This window comes from Homo sapiens, chromosome 22, assembly GCF_000001405.40.
Source record: "Homo sapiens chromosome 22, GRCh38.p14 Primary Assembly".
Taxonomy (NCBI): Eukaryota; Metazoa; Chordata; class Mammalia; order Primates; family Hominidae; genus Homo; species Homo sapiens.
In genome coordinates this window covers 30,894,921-30,911,218 of record NC_000022.11, presented here as the reverse complement: position 1 = coordinate 30,911,218, position 16,298 = coordinate 30,894,921, and the positions used below count along the sequence as shown (strand labels likewise).

At 45.0% G+C, this 16,298-nt stretch overlaps 1 protein-coding gene, 1 long non-coding RNA gene and 1 pseudogene across 7 annotated transcripts in view, besides 1 other annotated feature; 1 reads left to right on the top strand and 2 right to left on the bottom strand.

Moving 5' to 3' along the window:
- LOC107985544 (uncharacterized) overlaps positions 1-16,298 on the top strand; it is a 35,724-nt gene that overhangs the window by 10,561 nt on the left and 8,865 nt on the right. The window lies entirely within an intron of this gene.
- The window catches only part of OSBP2 (oxysterol binding protein 2), a 214,032-nt gene continuing 201,139 nt past the window's right edge, over positions 3,406-16,298 (bottom strand). For 5 of the 6 annotated variants that reach the window (NM_001282738.2, NM_030758.4, NM_001282739.2 and 2 more), the window contains 2 exons: positions 5,150-5,382; positions 3,406-5,022 (listed from right to left, as the gene is read on the bottom strand). In NM_001282738.2, the coding sequence (NP_001269667.1) occupies positions 4,880-5,022; positions 5,150-5,382 (376 nt within the window). In that variant the 3' untranslated portion in view covers positions 3,406-4,879. Of the gene's footprint in view, positions 5,026-5,149; positions 5,383-16,298 lie in introns of all 6 variants that reach the window. The other variant, NM_001282741.2, reaches the window with a different exon arrangement.
- Positions 7,879-7,978: an enhancer, noted in NCBI's record as "active region_18846". NCBI's record gives its function as "activates an Ori minimal core promoter by ATAC-STARR-seq in GM12878 lymphoblastoid cells {active_cell/tissue: GM12878}" and the evidence as "EXISTENCE:reporter gene assay evidence [ECO:0000049][PMID:35858748]".
- On the bottom strand, positions 8,247-9,066 carry EIF4HP2 (eukaryotic translation initiation factor 4H pseudogene 2; annotated as a pseudogene).

The window sequence follows — 16,298 nt, the reverse complement described above, 5'->3', positions numbered from 1 at the left end:
TATCTTTTTATTTACCATAATTAGGATTTGTTGAGCTTAACTTTGTATATTGGTGCTTTTCATGATTTCTTGAAAAACTTTTAGCCATAACTCTTCCAAGATTGCTTCTGTTCCATAAAAAATTCTTTTCTCCTTCTGAAATAGATCAGACATATGTGGGATCTTATCTTTCATGTCTTAACGTCCCTTTGATATTTTTCACCTCTTTGTGTCTCTGTGTTGTATTCCAAATTTCTTCAGATCTCACTTCTGCTTCACTAATACTCTCTTCAGCTGTGTAATCTGTTGTAAAACTATTCACTGAATTATTTTTAGTGATTTTAAAACATTTTCTTGAAATTTGTTTAGTATTTTTGAATATTTACTCTTCACTTATTTTCAAGCTGCCTTTCTGTTTCTAGAAATATATTAAACATGCTTATTTTCTCTTCTGTATCTGATAATTTTGCTGTGTGGAAGAGTTTTCTGTCTGATTCTGCTATCTGTTATTTCTGGTTGCCCTTGCTCATGGGTGCTTGTTTCCTTGTGTGTTTGGAGATTTTATACTGTGAGCTGCTCATTTTCCCTGCAGTTTCATATCTGAGGTTCTCTAAGGCCTAGAATGAAGGGGATATCTTCCAGAGAGGACTTGTTTGCTTCCCCCAGGTGACTGGGAACATTGCCAACTTCGGACCATGTTACGTTCTCTGTCAGAGGTTTCATTGAGCCATTCAGGTAGTGTGTATTTGGGCTGCAAAACTAACTGAGGGTCCACTCCTGATTACAAATTCTTAGGGGGATTTTGTTTTTCTCTGCTCAGGACCAACCTTTAAGACAAGTGATTTTTCTTGTATTTTATTTTGGATTCACCATTACATTGAAGGTATAGCCCTTGGGGGCCCCAAATTTCCTATTATATGCCCTACCTTTGGAGGCTCTTTTGAGGCAGTGAAAACTTACAGTTAAGCTCATTGGGCTTTGTAAATAATTGCAACATAAAATATTTCAGACCTTTTCTTACCTCTCCAGGTTTTCATACCCACTTAGTTTTTGGCTTGAGTATTCCTCATATTGTTTCCAGTTGATAGATGCATTTAACATTTAAAAAATTTTATCCAACCTGTCTAGTTTTCCACAAAGGAGTATTTTCTGGGAACCTAGTTTACCATATTGCCAGAAGAAGAAATCCTTCGACTGGCTGATGTAATGAATGATTTACCATGGAAAGCTTCACAACATTGAGCCATTTTCATTCTTGCATTTCTGCAGTAAACCTAATTTGGGCATGGGCTTACCAACTTGGGGTTCAGTCTTTTCTATGTGGCTAGATTCTATTTGCTGTTCTCTTGTTTGGATTTATGAAAATTCTTTTCTTCCATGAGACCGAACTATATATTCCCTTTATTTTCACACTGTCTTTATTAGGCTTTGTTGCTGAAGTTATGCATGCTGGCTAGCTTCATAAAAACAATAACTTAAATAGCATTGAGTTTGTCTCTTGTCCTGTTCTCTGTTCCACTTTGAAATGTGTCTCTCCGTTGTCCTCTCCTCCCAACTCCCTTCATGCTGAGCCATGTCCCTGGAGATGAGAGAACCTCAGGCCTTCTCTTCCCCACTTACAGAATCTGACTCCTACCCCACAGTCTGTCAGGAGCAGCAATTTGAACTCTAGAGTTTGGGGGAGGCAGGAGTTTCCTGGGTCCCTGGGCTCAGCTCTTCACCAGTTCCATTTCTGAGTCTCCTCCCAACTTGGTACTGCAGTCACGCCCCCCACTGCTCAGGTGTTGTCCCACTGAGCGTTTGCTTTAGCTGGTCTTCCTGGCCTGGTGTTGATTCTTTCGACAGCTATTCATTGAGCACTGACTATGTGCCAGGCAGTGGGATGCTACAACGTATAAGATCATGAAGCTCACAGTCTCATGAAGCTCAGTCCATTGGGGTAGGGAGGGCAGACCATCAACAAATACACTGCATGGCAGCCAGATGGTGATCAGAGAGCAGTGGAGAAAAAGGAAGCTTTGTGTCCCCAGGAGGCTTCCAGCTTGTTTGGGCATCTGCAGGTCAAGTCCACATAGTCCCCTCATCGTCCCCTGAGTTCTTGCTGGAGTGCAGTGGTGCGATCTCCACTCACTGCAGCCTCCGCCTCCCAGGTTCAAGCGATTCTCTGCCTCAGCCTCCCAACTAGCTGGGATTACAGGTGTGCGCCACCATACCCTGCTAATTTTTGTATTCTTAGTAGAGACGGGGTTTTGCCATGTTGGCCAGGCTGGTCTCAAACTCCTGGCCTCAAGTGATCTGTCCGCCTTGGCCTCCTAAAGTGCTGGGATAACAGGCGTGAGCCACTGCACCTGGCCCTATTTTTTTTTTTTTTAATTATTCTCTCATATAAATGTCACAATCAACTTGTCAAGCTTTTGAACTATATTGGTAGGATTTTAATAGGGATCATGTTGAATTTGTAGGTTTGGGACTAACATAACTGAATGTGAACCTAGCTATGAAGATGTATTTTCCCTCTTAACTCAGGTCCTCTCTGTCATGTCCATAAAGGTCTTTCACCTTGTGGTTTTGTGTCTTTTTGTCAGATGGCCTATGTCGTAGATCTTTTTTTCTATTACATTTTCTATTCAGTGATGGCTGGTGTATGTGAGACCACTGAGTGTAGGTTGATCTTGTGTCCTGCTGGTCAGAGTGGTCTTTCTAAAACATTGCCCTGATGTCAATTTCTGTTCAAGCTCTTCAGAGCCCTCTCTTTGCCTCAGTAGACTGGCCTTTGTCCCCTCCCTTGCCCTCTGGGTCAGGTGCATCCTGAAGTTCCGCCTCACCTCTATTCCAGTGAGACCTGCCCCACCAGCTCCTCAGCCGGGACCCCCCGCCAGCGGCCACCTCCCCACAGATGGGGAAGCCTAGCCAGGGAAGGAGCTGTGCAGGGCCAGCCCCAGATCCCACAGGGCTGGGGTTGGAGGCAGATGGTGAGAGCGCTGGCCCTGATGCCCCTGGGGTGCCCTGCTCTACCCATCCCTCACCTGGAAGTGCAGCCCAGGCTGCTGCTGTCAAGTGATATGGAACTCACCAGGACTGGCCTTCCCCCTGGAGGCCTCCCACTAGACAGCTCCAGGAACTGAAACACGGGAGGGGGCTGCTGGTGGTCTCCACCTGGCTAAAGCACTGCCCTTCCAAAGAGCAGAGCTAGGTCCAGGCCAGCCCTGTGGCCGCAGCATCAGGGCAGCCTTTGGCAGAGCTGCGACCCTCTCCCCAGCCCTTTGGGCAGTTTCCTGGGTCTCCTACCTCCTCTGTTCCCCTGACCCCCCTGCTGTTTCACCCCATGCTCTACCCCCATGCCACCTTGTAGGCTATCACCTGTCCTTCTACATTAGTCCCCTCCACCCAGATACACAGAGACTGAGGGACAGGGCAGTGGAAAACTCCAAAGCCAAGGTTTTTTATTACTGGTCAAAAGGTGCTCGCTAACAAAACAGTGTTGGGGAGAGGTACATTCCACAGCTCTGTAGGAGCCCCAGTGGGGCCATCCTGCCCCACCCCGCCCCGCCTCTCCAGTGGGCATTGTAAGGCATTTCACACATTGGTGTTTTCACTTTTTTTTTTTATATATATAAAAACAAAACCAGTCCTGGAGTAGAAAGAAAGACCCTGTGATGAACTTTTAGGACTAAACTGAAATGGAAAGGATTGGAGTGTGGGATTCTGAGGGGCTGGGTCAGTGGCCATGGTGGTCCAGCCCCCCATGGTTGGCAGAAGCCGCTGGAAGGGGGCATGAGGAGAGGGAAGGGCACAGCTCACATGAGGGCCAAACTCAGACAGGTGCACCCGTCTTCATCATTTTTTCACTTTTACATACTGTAGAAATTTAAGCAAAATAGCTATTTTATATATATTTATATATCTCATATATATATATATAAATTAGGCAAATAAAGAGTTCAGGGGACACTGAGATGGGGCACCCCTAGGGGCCTCCTAGGATGAGGAGGGATGCAAGGTCTCTGGTGCCCAGGTCACCAGCCCAGGCTGGGCCAAGGGTTTGTTCATTATTGCTGATTTGGGGCCTGGGTCTCAGGGCGGGGAGCACCTGCAGGCCCTGCCTTCCAGCCCTTCCTGGCCTCTTGGGGCTAGGGAGCCACCCAGGCTGGCTAGGGTGAGGCCAGGGACTGCTGCCCTCAAATCCACATGGGGGTTACCATCAGTACCCCCTCCTGCATCTGTGGATGGGAGCTCCAGAAACTCTGTGCTCTGCTGGGCTGGGGCAGCCCCCTTCTGTTTTGGGCTCTGTGGGGCCTTGGCAGGTGGGGGTGTGGGCAGCTCAGATACCATCGAGGACTTGATATGTTGAGCTACAAAATTCTCCCAACTCAAAGCGGTCTGGCTTCCTGATGTCTTAAAAATAAGGGGCTCTTGCCAGGACACTTTTGTGGCAAGAAAGCACACTTGGAAAGCTGTCTGCTAAGTGCGGTACTAAAAATATTTACTAAACATCATGGCTGGAAAGAAATGGAGATCATTTTTCTAAAAAAGTCGAAGAGGCTCCCTAGGAGGGGCCAGTTCCTCCCTGGGTTGGGGGCTGGTGATTTGCGCAGCCCATGGCCCGGGCCAGCCGGCCTGAGTTGTGGTAACTGGGGCAGGGGTTCCGGTAGGGCCCAGGTCCATAATGAAGGGGCACGGGTGACCCGGCGCACCTGGGGGCTGGAGAGAACCCAGGTCAGCCCTTCCTCCTTCCAAGGTGGGAGTCCCAAGAAAGTGTGGGGAGAAAAAAAAAATAGGAAAGGAAATAGGAAGGGCTGGGAATGGGCTGGGAGAAAGACCATTCAGTACTAAATTGAGTGCATTAATGAACAGGTGGGCCAGGCTGTGCAGGCGCCTGTATTTGTTGCAAGGGTGGCGCTCAGAAGATGTTGGGGCACATATGCCAGTCTTGCTTCTCCTTGGCCTCCCAGTAGCCGCCCTTGTACACACAGGCCATCTCCCCGGTCAGCGGATCCAGCCTCTTCTCAAACCACAGTGGCGTGTAGGCATCCGCCTCCTTCTCTGCTGGGCAGGCACAGTGGGCTGGTGGGTGGGCTTGTGGCCTGCTCCCCCGGAATCCGTCCCTGCGGCACCCCCACCCGGGCACCCCTTTCCTCCCCTCCGGGGCGCCCTTCCCGCCCGGCCTCACCTTCCTCCGAGCTGCAGCTGCTGCCCGGCCCGCAGGCCTCCAGCCGCCGGCGCCGCGACAGGCGCTGCTTCTCCTCCAGCCGCTGCTTCTCGGTATTGGCCTCGTCCCAACGGCCCTTCTCCATCAGCCGCTGGTCGGGCCGCAGGCGGCTGTCGGTTGGCGCTACGCCCTCCTCGTGCTCGTTGAGGGTCAGGGCCAGCTCTGAGAAGTAGTACATGTTCTCCGCGTTCTCCCTGTGGCGGTGGTGGTGGCGGTGGCGGTGGCTGCGGTGTGAGCCGGACCACACCTACCCGGCCGCCCTCCCCTGCCTGGCGGTGTCTCCTCCCGGGTCGCCTCACCCTCCAGCTCCCCGCGTCCAGGACTCCCTCTGGCCTTGGGCCCACCCCAGTGAGCCCACCCGGCGGAACCCAGTGGCTGCAAACAGCTGCCTTCTGCTCCCCACACCTCCCATGCTCACATGGCCAACCTGCCGCTGTTTTGCCACATTAGACTTATCTGGGAATTGCCTAGCTTAATATTTCTTGGCTTTTCTTCTTTTCTATTATGTTTTTTTTTCTTCTTCTTTTTTGAGACAGTTTCACTCTTGTTGCCCAGGCTGGAGTGCCTGGCTTTTTTAAGACAGGGTCTCCGCTGGGCACGGTGGCTCACGCCTGTAATCCCAGCGCTTTGGGAGGCTGAGGCCGGTGGATCACGAGGTCAGGAGTTCGAGACCAGCCTGGCCAACATAGTGAAAGCCCGTTTCTACTAAAAATTAGCTGGGCATGGTGGCAGGCACCTGTAATCCCAGGTAATCTACTCAGGAGGCTGAGGTGGGAGAATTGCTTGAACCCCAGGAGGCCGAGGTTGTGGTGAGCCGAGATCACACCATTGCACTCCAGCCTGGGCGACAGTTCGAGGCTCCGTCTAAAAAAAAAAAAAAAAAAAAAAAAAAAAAAGACGGGTCTCGCTCTGTGGCCCAGGCTGGAGTGAAGTGGCCTGATGCTTCGCTCACTGCAACCTCCGCCTCCTGGGTTCAAGCAACTCTCCTGCCTTAGCCTCCTGAGTAGCTGGGATTTCAGGGCATGCCCCCACACCCAGCTAATTTTATTGTATTTTTAGTAGAGATGGGGTTTTGTCATGTTGGCCAGGCTGGTATTGAACCCCTGACCTCAATTGGTCTGCCTATCTTGGCCTTCCAGAGTGTTGGGATTACAGGCATCAGCTACTGTGCCCAGCCCATATGGGGATTTTTCTAGTCATTTTTTTCTAGTATAATTGCCTTGGAGTCAGACAATATACTTGGCATAATTTCAGTCCTTTGAAATTTGCTTTATGGCCCAGTATATGGGCAGTTTTTGCACACGTTCCATGTGATTGAAGAGAACAGTTGTTGAGTGCAAGGTTGTATAACTGTCCAGCAGGCCTTGTTCATACTTTCTCTACTTGGGTTGTAGTTAGTCCATCTTTCCTAATGTGTGTATATATATATATATATTTTAATTATGTAAGCATTTCTTTTGTTGAAAAGATCCTTCAAAAAATACCATATCCATAGATTTACTTTCTGTCATATAGCTGAATGTGTTGTGTTTGGAATTCCATTCTTACATTTAAAAATCAACTGGATTGCCCAGAAGTTTAGATGCATTTGTTTTGTTTATCTTATCCATGTTGAAGATGTAAGTAGATGATCTGAAAGCATCAGGTTTGATTACACCACATAATGCATGTCTTTCTTAAGTATTGGTGTTACAGAAATGGTTCTTATCTCAGAAGCAGAGAAGCTGACAGGTGGAAGGAAGGAGAGAGAGTTCTGTGGATTGCGGAGGGCTTGTAACAAAGATACAGTAGGAGAAGCCAAGGATGACAGCTGGTGACCAATTACTAAGCACACTACACTGGGCGCCCCAGGCTGCCCTGCCATCACCCTGCAAGGGTCTCTTTCCTAGGCCCTTGCTGCCAGCCACCCCCCAACTGCTCCCCAAAGGGAAGACTGGGATTTGGGTACTGAAGGATTTTTCATCTGTTCACACGCGGGCGTTCAAGCTCAAAAGCCTAACCACTACCACTCCCAGGTAAGTGCTGAACCCTGCACATGGGAACAACCAAGTGTGTCCCCAAGATGCAGCCTCAGACCTAGACAGCTACAGTCCTATACGATCATCTGAAGGTCCTGACAGCTCTGCACAGTACAATTTCATTTATCAAGGGAAATGAGTAAAGTGCCAGATTCTAGACCCATTTTGGCTATGAATTGAAGGGGAGGTGGGAAGCACAGTATCTCATTATGTTGCCTGTACTAGGAACAGATAAACACAAACACACAGGCAACAGGGATTTGGGGAAACACCGTGTCAGCGCTGCAGTCAGCCAAGCGCAGTGCCGGCGCTATCCCCCAACCCTCAAAGTGCCTTGGCCCAGGAGAAAAGAAACCCGCTGGCCATTCACTGCAGCTGGCCAGAGAGGGGAACCTCGACCATGTCTGGTGAAAGGAGTGAACTCATTGGGACACAGCCTCGAAAAAGCAGTAACAAAAACACGTGAATGCCTACGAACATTCACTGTGTTTTCTCCGTGGACTCCCTACTGCTATTCCACGGTCTCCACTTTCAGCTCTCGCTGTTTCTCGTGTGAGCCTATCCCTTTGGACAGTCCACTTTGGGAGGGGGTCATGGAGCCAGGGCTCCCTCTCAATAGGAATGGAAAGGACCCTGCAAGAATCAACACCTATTTTTATCCTAGTTGTGAAAACAAGGTGCCTCCAATTCTCTATGTCCATCACAGCTGAATACCAACAAGGTGCAGTTCAGTCTGTCAGTGACTTCTGGTTTTTGTTGGAAGCCAACGCAATACAGAACTCAACATGCAGGTCAGAAGAGAAACACTGAGGAAGTGAAAGGAAACACCTGGAGTCGGGCCAATGTCTAAAGTAAAAAGAGAAAGCAAAGGAGAAAAATGATGCAGTACCGCAGCCCAAACGACTCCCCCACATGGCCACCTCCGATCCTCTGGGGAACCCCATGTGCTGCTAGGAAAACGAGCTGGGAGGAAAAGGACAGAAGGAAAATGGGGAAGCAGTGGTAGAAAGAAAAAAACGCACAAACAGGCACTAGATAGATACAGCAAAGCCCAGAATGTACTAAAAACCACTTGTTGACAGCTGGCATGCACTCACAACAAGCTGTGTTTCCACTGTGGGGAGGCCAGTGGCAGGTATGGGAGTGGAAGCTGCAGGAACATGGCCCAGGGGTTCACCAGGCTGTGGTCCTGCTCCAACCCCCCATGTTCCATTCCCTCCCAACCGCAGGCTCATTCTTGCTCCTTGTGAACGAATTCCACTCTGGGTCTGGCACCCCTGAAGATAGCAGAGTTGGGATCGGCTACTTCATTGAGGGGCGTCACAACATTCGAGGTTTAAGCTGGAGTCGTGGTCTTTGTGCTCTTCCCTCCTCTGTCGGTTCTTTGAAATCCATGTTGGATCGTGGAAGGGAGGACCATCTCTGAAGTGGCTGCCCAGTTGGGGGCCTGTTTCCCAGTCACCTGGGTGACTACCTCCCCTGCCTCCTAAGAAGTCATCCCTGAAGCTTCGTCATCTGGTACACCTTTTCTGAATCCAAAGCCACCTTTATCTTGTTTTCTGCCTTCTGCAATGTCCACATGAAGTGACTGATTGCCCAACAGTGCACCATCGTATGTCAAGCTTCCTTAAGGGAATCCACTTCATCGAATTCTATATAGCAGAATCCTTTAAATTTATCTGTGTCTTTGTCTCTGACTACCCGTACACTCCTTATGCTGAGATCCTTAAAGATAGCATCTATGTCGCCCTGAACCATATTAAAAGGTAGATTCCCTACATATGCTGTGTGTGGGGCTCTGTGAGCGACTCCTTCTGGCTACGGGAACCATGGCCACCAGTACTGCCGTGGGACCCTCTGTTTTTTTTTTTTGGTTTTTTTTTTTTCGTTTTTTTTTTTTTTCTTATATTGCTAAGATTTACCTACGTTGCTTCATGTTACTGGGGTTTAGTTTTAGCTACTGTATATATTCCTTCATGCGAATGTACCACAGTTATTCATTCAATAAATTTGTGTTGTTTCCAAGTTTTTGTTATTGGAATAGTCTCATGCATAAGTCCTGTTGTACATTTGCAAGAATTTCTCGAGTATATTTTTACAAGTAGAATTACTGGGTTATGACTATGTGATTGTTCATCTTTTTTTGTGGGGGGACAGAATTTCACTCGTCGTCCAGGCTGGAGTGCAGTGGCACCATCTCGGACACTGCAACCTCCACTTCCCAGGTTCAAGCACTTTTCCTGCCTCAGCTTTCCGAGTAGCTGGGATTACAGGTGTGTGCCACCACGCCTGGCTAATTTTTATATTTTTAGTAGAGACAGGGTTTCACCAGGTTGGCCAGGCTGGTCTCGAACTCCTGACCTCAGGTGTTCCACCGGCCTTGGCCTCCCAAAGTGCTGGGATTACAGGCGTGAGCCACCACGCCTGGTGGAAAGCCAAACTGTTTTCCCGAGTGTTGTACCAATTTACAACTTTTGCCAGCAGCAATGTATCAGAGATATTGTAGCTCTACAGCTTCTTCAACATACATGTTTTTTATGTGATGACTGGCCATATATGTTTTTTCTGCAAAATTCTTGTTCATGACTCTTGCACATTTTCCCATTATTTTTACATTAATTGTTGATTAGAAGTTCTTTATGTGGGCTGGGCATGGTGGCTTTTGCCTGTAATCCCAGCACTTTGGGAGGCAGAGGCAGGCAGATCACCTGAGGTCAGGAATTTGAGACCAGCCTGGCCAACATGGCAAAACTCCATCTCTACTAAAAATACAAAAATTAGTCGGGCGTGGTGGCGCACACCTGTAATCCCAGCTCCTCAGGAGGCTGAGGCAGGAGAATCGCTTGAACCCGGGAGGCGGAGGTTGCAATGAGTCGAGATCACATCACTGTACTCCAGGCTGGGCGACAGAGTGAGACTCCATCTCAAAAAAAAGTTCTTTATGTGATCTTTTAAAAATTTTTATTTTTAACTATGATAAAATACTCTGTATTCTTGATAATAATCCTCTGTCAAGTGTAGGTAGATATTATGATTACCTTCTCCAAGTTTGTTTATGCATCGTCTTTTCACTTTCTTTAAATTGCCTTTTAGTGAGTAAAAGTTCTCAATGAACAAAAGTATTTTAATATGGTCAAATATATGAATGCTTGTGTCTTAATATTTCCTTAGGGTCTAAAAGATATTTATCCTTTTCAACTTATTAAGTCATTGTTTACAATAAGTCAAACAATATTACTGTAAGGCCATTATTTGATTTTCTTTATAACGTGAGGGAGGGATTAAGTGCATCTTTTTCCATAGGGATTCATTTGGTGAGCCATTCCATCTTCCCACAAGATCTGATATGCCACCTTTGTCATATATCAGAGGTACATATATCCATGGGTCTGTTTCTGGGCTCACTAATCTGTTCCATTAGAGTTTCAAAATAAAAATCCTGGTATCTAGTAGGGTAAGTCCTCTCTGGTCTTCTTCAGAAATGTCTTGGCCCTTTATTCCTCAATATAAATTTAAAAATTCTAATATCAAGTTCCATGAAGGTCCCTATTGGGGTTTTGTTTGATTTACTGACTTTTTAAATCATGACATCTTTACAATACTTTCTATCCGTGAACATTATATCTTTCTCCATTTATTTAGCTCTTCTTTGGTATCTCTTATTAAAGCTGTATAATGTTCTCTATAGAGGTCTGGATTATATTAGATTTATTACAAGGTCCTTGATGTTATATGCTGTTAATTTTTTTTTTTTTTTTGAGATGGAGTTTCGCTCTTGTTGCCCAGGCTGGAGTGCAATGGCATGATCTTGGCTCACCACAACCTTTGCCTCCTGGGTTCAAGTGATTCTCCTGCCTCAGCCTCCAAAGTAGCTGGGATTACAGGCATGCGCCGCCACGCCTAATGTCGTATTTTTAGTAGAGATGGGGTTTCTCCATGTTGGTCAGGCTGGTCTCAAACTCCCGACCTCAGGTGATCTGCCTGCCTTGGCTTCCCAAAGTGCTGGGATTACAGGCATGAGCCACTGCGCCCAGTCTTGGTGTCTTATCTTAAATTGCATTTTTCTAGTTGTTTGCTGAAATGCAACTGGCTTTCGTATATTAATCTTGTATCTAGGCACCTAAAATGATTTTTCTGAATCTATTGAAATCTGTTAATATGATTACTCTATGGATTTTCTAATATAAAATCATTCTATATACCCAGGATAAATTCAACCTGATTATAGGATGCTATCTTTTTTATACACTGTTGGATTGGATTTTCTGATATCGTTTTAGATTTTTGCTTATATATTTATTAATATAAGTGAAATAGGGTAGAACTTTTATTTTCCTACTGCTAGTTTAGCCTAATTTGGTATGAGGGTTATCCTGGCCTCACAGTTTAGGAGAGGTGAATATTTCCTTTTTCTATGATCTGGAACACTTTATATGAAATTGGAATAATATGTTTCTGAAAAAATAGGGAGAATTCATCTGTAAAATTATCTGGGCCTCGTGTTTTCCTTACAGTAATTTTTAAACTATTGCTTCAGTTACTTTATTATAGGACTATTCATGTTTTCAATTTCTTCTAGAGTCAGTTCTTTTTCTTTTTTTTTTTTTTTTGAGATAGGGTCTGCTTTGTCACCCAGGCTGGTATGCAGTAGTAGTCATGGCTCACTGCAGCCTCGACTTCCTGGGCTCAAGTAACCTTCCTGCCTCAGCCTCCTGAGTAGCTGGGACTACAGGTGTGTACTACACATGTGTACTACAGGTGGGACTACACATGGCTAATTAAAAAAATTTTTTTTTTGTAGAGACAGGGTCTTGCTGTTGCCCAGGTTGGTCTTGAACTCATGGGCTTAAGCAATCCAACTGCCTTGGCTTTCCAAAGTGCTGGGATTATAAGCATGAGCCACTGTGCCCAGCTAGAGTTAGTTCTTGTTATATTTTTCTAAGAATTTGTCCCTCCAATCTAAGTTTTAATTATGTCTTTATACTTTATATGTCACATTAAACCTTTTTCATTAATATTTATTTCTATCTTGATCAGTCTTGTCAGTAGTTTTCTATTTTGACAGTTTTTTTATGCCTCAAAGAATCAACTTTTGGCTTTGTTTTTTTAATTGATTTCTGCTTTTATTATTATTATTATTATTATTATTAATATAAAGATGATATCTTGCCATATTGCCCAGGCTGGTCTCAAATTCTTCAACTCAAGCAATCCTCCCGCCTCAGCCTTCCAAAGTGCTGGGATAATAGGGTTTGGCTGTGTCCCTACCCAAATCTCATCTCAAATTGTAATCCCCACATGTCAGGGGAGGGACCGGGTGGGAGGTGATTGGACCATGGGGGTGGTTTCCCCCATGCTATTCTTGTGATAGTGAGTGAGTTCTCACTAGATCTGATGGTTTTGTAAGCAGCTGTTTCCCCTACTCTCTGCTCTTTTCCTGCTGCCTTGTGAAGAAGGTACTTGCTTCTCCTTCACCTTACGCCATGATTGAGTTTCCTGAGGCTTCCCCAATCAATCAGGCAGAACTGTGAGTTAATTAAACCTTTTCTCCTTTATAAATTACCCAGTCTCTGGTGGTATCTTTATAGCAGTGTGAAAATGGAATACAGGAGATTATAGGCATGAACCACCACGTCTAGCCAAAATTATTATTATTTTTTGAGACAGGGTCTTGCTCTGTCACACAGGCTAGAGTGCAGTGGTGTGTTCACAACTCACTGCAGCCTCGACCTCCTGGGCTCAAGTGATCCTCCCACCTCAGTCCTCCTGAGTATCTGGGACTACAGGCATGTACCATCATGCCTGGCTAATTAAGAAAAAAAAAATTTTTTTTTGGTAGAGATGAGGTCTCACTATGTTGCGCAGGCTTTTGCTCTTGCTCTTATTTTTAAAGTATATTTTCTTCTTTCTTTGGATTTCTATGTTGAACTTTCTCTAATATTAGAATTGAAACTCAAAGGAGAAAGCCTCAACATTAAATGATTTAAGGCAATATATTTCCTTTGAAGCATTGCTTTTATTGCATCCAGCCAGTTTAAATATCTTTTTTTTTTTTTTTTTCCTGAGACGGAGTCTCACTCTGTCACCCAGCCTAGAGTACAGTGGCACGATCTCAGCTCACTGCCACCTCTGCCTTCCAGGTTCAAGCGATTCTCTTACCTCAGCCTCCCAAGTAGCTGGGATTACAAGTGCGTGCCACCACGCTCGGCTAATTTTTGTATTTTTAGTAGAAACAGGGTTTCACCATGTTGGCCAGGCTGGTCTCGAACTCCTGACCTCAGGTGATCCCCGCCCTCCCCCGCTACCTTCGGCCTCCCAAAGTGCAGGGATTACAGGCGTTGAGTCACCATCCCGGCCAAATATCTTTTATATCATTCAGTTCTACATATTTTGCATTTTTTCATTCTAATTTATTTTGCCTATGAGTTATTTAGCAACTTAAAATTTTTTCCCAAATATTTGGGATTTTTTGGTCATTTTGCTTGTAACTTCTATCTTAATTGTCTTATAGATTGTGGTCTGTATGCTACGCTCTAAATCTCTGAGGCTTCCATTAGGGTTTACTACACAATCAGTTTTTGCATACATTCCATGTATACTTGAGAAAAAATATGTTCTCAGAGTTGCATCCATGAGTCGGTAATAGCATATATTGTTTGGATCTCCATATACTTGCTGGATTGTTTATTGTTTCCATTTGACCTATCAACAAGTGAAAGAGGTGTACAGAAACTTCCTAATTTCCCACTGTGGTGATGGATTTATCAATTTCTTCCTTAAGTATCAATATGTGCTTTGTCTATTTTTGAGGAATTTAATTATATGCATAATGTTTAAAACTATTATATCTTTTTGATTAACTCAACCTTTTATTATTATAGCAACTTTCCCTTCCTTAATAATGCTTTTGTCCTAAAGTCTATTTTACCTGATATTAATATAGCTATTATAGCTTTTTGTTAGTATTTTCATGATATGTGTCTTTTAATTTCAACTTTTATATACCTTTATATTTTGGGAACCTCTTAGAAGGTCTGGGTATCTGGATTTTAACACATCCAGTTAGGCCGGGCATGGTGGCTTGTGCCTATAATCCCAGCACTTTGAGAGGCTGAGGCTGGAGGATCACTTGAGGCCAGGAGTTTGAAATCAGACAGAGCAACATAGTGACACCCTGTCTCTATAAAAAATTTTTAAAAATTAGCCAGGCATGGTGGTGCATGCCTGTAGTCCTAGCTATTCAGGAGTGTGAGGTGAGGATCACTTGAACCTGGGTGTTTGAGGCTGCAGTGAGCTGTGATCGTGCCACTGGATACCAGCCTGGGTAACAGAGCGAGACTCTGTCTCTTAAAAAAAAAAAAAAAATCCAGTTTGCCAGTAGTTTGCTTTTTAACTGGTGAGCTTCATCTATTTATATTTATTATAATCATTGATAATGCTTGGGCCTATTGCTATCATGTTAATTTATAGTTTTTGTTTGTGCTACTTTTTAATTTTCTCTTACCATTTTAACAGTCTTATAAATGTTTCTTCCTTCCAATAAGAACTTAGCATTTCTTCACATCCCTCAGATCCTTCCCCTTCTCCTCAAATTCCATCATGCTAAGATTATCTAAACTTTTAAATCTGCATTATTATGAGCATGTTTTCTCTTTTTCTTTGATCCTAGTAGTTGTTTAAAAAATAACTTTTAGGCTGGGTGTGGTGGCTCACACCTGTAATCCTAGCACTTTGGGAGGCCGAGGTGTGCCGATCACTTGAGGTCAGGAGTTCAAGACCAGCTTGGCCAACATGGTGAAACCCCGTCTTTACTAAAAATACAAAAATTAGGCGAGCACAGTAGCATGCCCCTGTAATCTCAGCTACTCGGAAGACTGAGACAGGAGAATCGCTTGAACCTGGGAGGCAGAGGTTGCAGTGAGCCAAGATCATGCCACTGCACTCTAGCCTGGGCGACAGAGTGAGACTCCATCTCAAAACAAACAACAACAAAAAAACAAACAAAACCCCTTTATTCATCTATTGTGACATCCTTGCTCCCCCCATCCTCCCCTTTAAAGTACTGTGTCCAATACTGTTTTCATTTTTTTTTTTCCTCCCAGGCTAGAGTGCAGTGGCACGATCTCGGCTCACTGCAACCTCTGCCTCCCAGATTCAAGTGATTCTCATGCCTCAGCCTCCTGAGTAGCTGGGATTACAGGTGCGTGCCACCATGCCTGGCTAATTTTTGTATTTTAGTAGAGACGGGGTTTCTCCATGTTGGCCAGGGTAGTCTTGAACTCCTAACCTCAAGTGATCTGCTTGCCTCGGCCTCCCAAAGTGTTGGGATTACAGGCGTGAGCCACCACACCAGGCCCAATACTGTTTTCATTGTGGGTTTTTGTGTGGCAAAACTTCCGAGGCTGCGTGCCTAAGGATATGGCCCCATATGTGAATGTCAGTTTGACTAGATACAAAATTAGAAAGTAGAATTTTCTAACTTAGAAAATATTAATCCAATGTTGGTTATTGAAAAATCTGATGTCTAATTCTTTATCCTTGACTAAAATCTTTTGCTCCTCCCTGGAAGCTATTAGAATTTTTTCTTCGGTCTTCATTTTGACTATAGCATGATCTAGATGAACATTTTTCTTTATTTCTTGTCTTCAGCACGCTATAGGCCCTTTCAGTACAGGGTCTTTCATCTCTTTGCTTTTACTTTGGGAAATTTATCTTCATTTTATCTCCCTCTTTGTTTTTTTTCTTCTTCTTCTTCTTTCCTTCTGGGATTCCAGCTAAATGGGTTATTTTAGCGGTTACCCTAGGAATCGCAATAAACATACTTCATACACTCAGAAGCGAATGTGCATCTTGATCCTCTTCCAGGGCAGCATGGCGGGGGGGCCTTTGAGCAGTTTCCCTCCCTTCATTCCTCTTCGTACTGTGCAGCCACATTCTAAAATGTTGTACCCCACGTTATTCTTGTTTATTCAGCTTTAATTTAGGTGCACAGTATCCGTTATTCTCAGATCTTCCCTCTGGGGTCAGTTTCCTCCTGCCTGAGGTATATCCTTTTGTGCAGGTCTGCTGGTGCCAAAGTAAGCTTTTTGTTT